The sequence below is a fragment of the Homo sapiens genome, chromosome 6 (assembly GCF_000001405.40).
Source record: "Homo sapiens chromosome 6, GRCh38.p14 Primary Assembly".
Classification (NCBI taxonomy): Eukaryota; Metazoa; Chordata; class Mammalia; order Primates; family Hominidae; genus Homo; species Homo sapiens.
Window position 1 is genome coordinate 36,923,296 of NC_000006.12, and position 6,000 is coordinate 36,929,295.

Consider the following 6,000-nt stretch of genomic DNA (forward strand, 5'->3'; position numbering starts at 1 on the left):
GTGCCCACCCTCTGACATTTACATGCCTTCCTCTTGCTATTTCCCCTCAAGGCTATGTCGACACCACCCACTGGAAGGTCTACGTTATAGCCAGAGGGGTCCAGCCTTTGGTCATCTGCGATGGAACCGCTTTCTCAGAACTGTAGGAAATAGAACTGTGCACAGGAACAGCTTCCAGAGCCGAAAACCAGGTTGAAAGGGGAAAAATAAAAACAAAAACGATGAAACTGCTTTCTGGGGGTTGGTTACTTAGTTACCTGCCCTTTGCATGCATGTGTGAACCAGCTGTGAGCTGCAAGGCAGTGGCCAGAGCCTCGCCCTCCTGACTCTTCCTGCAGGTGGCTCAGGAAGGATTCAGCCTGGCCACTTGGCTAGGACTCTGCCAGCACCCATCTGAGACTGACCTCTTCCGGGCCTTTGGACACTATGACCTTGATGCTGCCCTTCAGGCAGGAAACAGGGCTGGTGCCTTTCTTCACCTGCATGGCCAGCTTCCTTCCCTGGCAGTGGAGAGGGCAGCCAACAGGTTCTAATGTCAGAGCCATCCTTTACCAGGTGGGCCTGCTTGTCCCTGTCTTGCCTGCCACATCACTCTACTTTTTGGAAGGCCATGGCTGATTAAAGAAGTTCTTGTAGTTTCCCAAGCAAAGTGGAATCTAGAAACAGTGAAAAAAGTTCAGATAACTTTGAATTGCATTCAAGAAGTACACTTCTTTCCCATTGTCCGTGGCTCTTGGAGTCTCCGTGATGCCAGGCTAGAGTCTGATTATATAATAATTCAAAATGGTAACTCCCAAGGTAATGCTTTCTTCCATTTCATCAGGTTCTTTTATCCCCACTGCACCCCCTCCCCTTCTCCCTTGCCTATCTGGATGGCTTCTCAGAAGCTCGGCCCTAGTCCTCCCTGCCTTGGCGGGGCCAGAGCCCACTACTGCTGAGGCAGCACTGCTCTCGTCAGCTGTGTTGCCTTTACCAAGTGTCTTCAGAGGGTTATGAGTTAGAGTAGCTGGCCTGGGGAGAGGGTGCCTCCCTGGGTTTGATCTTTAGGGTCTGACTTTCTGCAGAGAAGATGTTTTACAGATGTGTCAAAGCTGATGTAATGTGGTTGGGGGAGGAAATCCAGACCCAAAGTGTTTGTCAGCTGGGTGTACAACTGCCTATGTGATCCTCTGTCTTAAAATGATTTCTGTCTGTGCTGCGAAACAAAGACAAGGTGAGGTGTTTTTCTTTTTTGTAATAATATAAAGCTGTGTGTTTCTGATTGGATGATTCACTATGTGCATTGTTTTCTCCTAAGTGCTTTTAGTAGGTAGCAATCAAATGGTGTAAATAAGGATGTTCTTTTCCTGTTCCTTTTATTTTTTTCTCTCTTTATTATTCTTTTATTGACACCACTAGATAGCTGGCCACTGGTCATGCCATTGCCAAGATGAAGAAAAAGCAAACTACACTTTGGCCTCTGGTTCTGAATTGCAGAAATCAAAGGATGCAGTAGGTGTCTATGTCAGAATTATGGATCAGAGGCAGACAATGACGAGTGAAGATGGTTGTGAAGCCCTCTTCATTCCTGGAGGAGCCTGCATCTCATCTCTCAGGCCCTCTTTCTCTGTGGGTCTCATGAACAGCAGTGGGGACCATTGAGCACTTGAATGGCCTGTTTGTCTATGGGCTTGCAAAGGACAAGCAGAGTTCACAGAGCTCAGGATAGAAACATCAGAGCCTCCTCCACGGGCTTCAGTGAAACTCCGATGAACTGTACCTGAGGGAATTTTTTCTTAATCAACCCCTTGTGTGGATGAATACAGGAACAACAAAACTTGTGTACGTATGAAAGTCATGTTGTTAAGCAGTTATGATTTAAGAGGTTTTAAGTCAGAGGGATCATCTGGAGGCCGGCTTTGTGCAAGCTTTTACAGCCTTCTGCAGTGTCCTTACCCTGGCTGTACATGGGGAAGGGCTATGTGTAAACAAGTGCTTTAGAGGCCTCTGAGAGTTTTTAAAAATCAGACCCATTAACAAAAGAGAGGGTTTCTTAGGAACAAAGCAACTATTTTGATTACTGAGATCTCTGTTTTGTTTCTGTGAGTTACTCTGTATTCCTTTCCCCATTTCACTCTTGCCCTTCACATCTTAAATGTCCATAAGAAACCCTTGCATGTGTTGGTATTCTGAGGCATCCCGTGGGAAAGTCCCCTAAGTCCCATTTTGTACTTCAACAAAAAATGACTGTAGCAGAAGATAAGTGGAGACTTTTATGGATATACTACTCATTTTACTTAAAATCTACCCAGTTCAGACTTGAATGTAAACTTGTATTAGGGGAAAATTCTCCAAAGAGGGTTTTCTACATACACAGAAGCAGTTCAACTTCTCAAGTTAATTTTGATAAGCAGAATCTACTACTGGCCAGAGCGACAGGAGTGGCTAGGGGTTGCCAGCCAGTCCCTTTCTGATGATCAAGGCCCTGCACAGCAGGATGCCACAGGATGCCCCTGCCATCTAGCTGGAAGCATCAAAAGTCCCTCTGTATGACCCGGTGTGGGAAAGAGGGTTGTCAGGATGAGAAAGTGGGGCTGCAGGGTGACGATAAGACCACCTAACCAACTCCCCACCTCCACCACCACAATAAGAACAAAACTGTAGGGCTCTAAAGAGAGGGGGTGGTTTACAAGTTTATTGAGCATTTACTAGGAAGTGACATGGCGATGACCTCTGTACATGAGTTAGGTTCACTTTCATGTGGCCTCCCACTACAGAGATGCGTATGCCCAGAAGTCAGCTCTCTGAGGAGACAGGCTACTTTGGCCCCAGTTTGAAGCATTCTGTCCAAATGTCCTGAGCTCTCCAGCAGTCAAGTAGTGAATGGATACCATACTTATTATGGTTGATGAAAAAAGGCAGAGCTTATCCTCAATTTTTTTTAGGGAAGAGAAGGAATAAAATAAAAGTGGTTCAAGCTGGGCATGGTGGCTCACACCTGTAATTGCAGCACTTTGGGAGGCTGAGGCAGGCAGATCACTTGAGGTCAGGAGTTCAAGACCAGCCTGGCCAACAGGGTGAAACCCCATCTCTACTAAAAATACAAAAATTACCCAGGCGTGATGGTGGGCGCCTGTAATCCCAGCTACACAGGAAGCTGAGGCAGGAAAATTGCTTGAACCGGGGAGGCGGAGATTGCAGTGAGCCAAGATTGTGCCACTTCATTCCAGCCTGGGCGACAGAGCGAAACTCTGTCAAAGGAAAGGAAAGAAAAGAAAAAAAAAAAGAGAGAGAGAAAAGAAGAGGGGAGGGGAGGGAAAGGGAAGGGAGGGGAGGGGAGGAGAGGAGAGCAGATTGGGGGGGCTCATGTTCTGAGAGAAAGGAATAATAGCATTTGTCTAGTACATTCCAGTTTACAAAGTGCCTGATATACATGATCTCCTTTAATCTTCACCCAATCCTGTAAAGTAGGTGTTAGATCCCCATTTTGCAAGTAAATAAGTGGAGGCTTAGAGCAGTTAACCGCTGGCAGGTAGGTAGCTGGTTCCATAGCACATCATTTTCCTGCGGCATCACGGCATGGTGCCGAAGAAGACAGCTGTGGATGTCGTTGACTCAGATGTGCCTCCGTTGGGGTGGGAGAACCCAGGGATGGGGGTCAGCAAGCCAGGAACTCCGCAGGGTTTGTTTTTAAAACTCTGCTGGACAGAAGTGGAGGAGGAAAGAATCTAACCATATGACTTTTATAAAAATCCTTTCACTTTTCCCCTCCCCATTTGAAAACTCTTTTTAAGAGTGAATGTAGCTGAAACACAACTGTGTCCAGCCATTTTCCTGTCTCCACATTCTTCCAGATGTGTGACAGAGGAGGGACTCTGCTCAATTCCAGTTGTGGGTCCCCTTGGAGTTTACATCACTTGTTTTTCAATTCTTGGTTTTCTGTTCCCTTCTACCAAAACCCAGCATAGGACTCAGTGTACACTTACTTTAAAACAAAAACTCACATTTCTTAGCTGCAGGTGATGGCCTCAGTCATTTTAATACAGCCTGGAATGAGTTTGCTTATTACCCAGTCACTTTCGTAGTGAATGTTCAAACCCCAAAGCAAATGTTTGCATCTCCTTGTCCATAAAGGAGAAAGCCAGGTTATAGGAGAAAGAGAGAGAAAGGCGCATGTCTGTTTGCACAGAGAGAGGCAATTTTGTCTACCTTTCGAGAATCAGTTATAAACAGAAGGGCCTCTTAGGATTTTGAGCTCTCCTGACAATGAAGGAAAAGCTCTCTTGAGTATACAAGTTCCACACTCATTACCTTTCAGTGGTGACCCATCACCCACTACAATTTGTTGAAGGAAGGGAGTGTCAGAGATATGCTTTAAAGTTGTACTTTAGGCTGAAATTCTCTCTGTATTTGGACCTGCAGATGTTGTGTACAGAACCGATGCATGGCAGGGTCAGGAAGCTAGGAGAGTGAAGGCGCTTGTGGAGACAGCTCTGTAGCAAATGAAACACGGAAGCCTCCGGGAATGTGTTTGTGTCACCAGCAGCAGGCATTTCCCTGTCCTCCCCACCCCCAGTCTCCACATCCCCAGCAGCCTCTTCCAGAAGCATGTCAGGGAGACGGACAGGTGCTCTCCTTCTCGTGCACCACATCCAAGTCCACCCACCGTGGACGCAGTGTGACTAAATGCTGGCCTTGAAGAGAAACCCTCAGCCAGCTTGTCTGTTGTCCAGGTCCCTCAGTGTCTCTGGTTTCCCTGCCCTGCATAATTTAAGCATTAGTGCCAAATACATCTGTCATATTCCTCTCCCTGGAGACTGCGAAATGTCCAGACTTTTTCAGACTAGTGGAGGGAAGGAATGTTACATAACTAAGTGGAGGCCTGGAACTGTCAGGATTTGACAGGGCTGGACCAGAGACCCTTCCGCCTCTGCCTAGTGTGTCTGTCAGGCAGGCAGCAGCCATCAATCCAAGAATGAGCCATGGCGGCAAGCACTGTGTGGAGAAAGGAACCCAGCCGAGGTCTGAGTTTCAGACAGAAACTGGGGAGTTGGGACATCTTCTCTGTGCCAGGCTTCATTGACACCATCGCTCCCCACAGCAGCTCCTTGGGGCAGGGGGCTCACCTGTGCAGCCACCCTTACTCACAGTAGCATCCCATTCTTCACACTGCAACCCCCCAGCACTGTGGACCCTTCCAGGGAGGTGACAGGAGCCAGCAGACACATGACATTCCCAGAAAGCCCCATCTTATCCAGACAGGCTTCCCTCCATACTTCTTTCCACAGTTTTACCCTCAGAAAAATGTTGGCTGCAGTCTTCCCTTCCTTCACCTCCACCCTGGGGAAGGGTCAGTAACCAATGCCGAGGGTCGGGGAAGGAGGAGTCACAGGCAAGACAGGGACTCAGCGCAGTGCTCCCGCCATCATCGGGGACAGGTGCCAGGGTCAGCTGCAGCTCTCCTTCCGGGAGCAGGGTGTGGTGGCCCTGGATGGTCCCAGGGAGCAGAGGGAGGCAGGCAGCTGTCACAGCCACAGCGGCTCTGAATGGCTTGAGCTTTTAGTATGTGTTCAAGTGCAGGATACTACAAACTGGTAAAGACTTCCACCATGTGAAGAATGTATGTAAATTAAAGTTTATTGTAATGAAGGTTTTTACTTTTTGCAATTAAAAGTGTTGGTTGATAAGAACTTTCCTCTTGTTGGTGTCATTCTTTAATTTCCAGTTTTCTCTTGTTTCCCCTTCTCCCATGACATGAGAGACTTCTAGCCATATCTCGCTCATGAGGCCGGCCTGTGGGGCTCCTCTGTGCCCGCCTGGCTTTGGTCTCTACCATTTGCACCCAGCACTGTCCTTGCATTCACAGCCTCCACTTTCTCCGCACCCCAGACGTTACCCACAGCGGCTTCTCATCTGCTATTCCCATGAATTCTCAAATCTCAGTCCCCCTGTTAATACCCTCCCCTGTCTGTGCACTTCACCCAGAATGCAGGTGAGCCCCTGGACGCCTTTTTTTTTCTC

General features: G+C 47.9%; 1 protein-coding gene across 11 annotated transcripts in view; it reads left to right on the forward strand.

Moving 5' to 3' along the window:
* C6orf89 (chromosome 6 open reading frame 89) overlaps window positions 1-5,669 on the forward strand; it is a 57,121-nt gene extending 51,452 nt beyond the window's left edge. For all 11 annotated transcript variants that reach the window (XM_047418339.1, XM_047418337.1, XM_047418342.1 and 8 more), the window contains one exon: window positions 52-5,669. In XM_047418339.1, the coding sequence (XP_047274295.1) occupies window positions 52-146 (95 nt within the window). In that variant the 3' untranslated portion in view covers window positions 147-5,669. The remainder of the gene's footprint in view (window positions 1-51) is intronic.
* The last annotated feature ends 331 nt before the right edge of the window (window positions 5,670-6,000 follow it).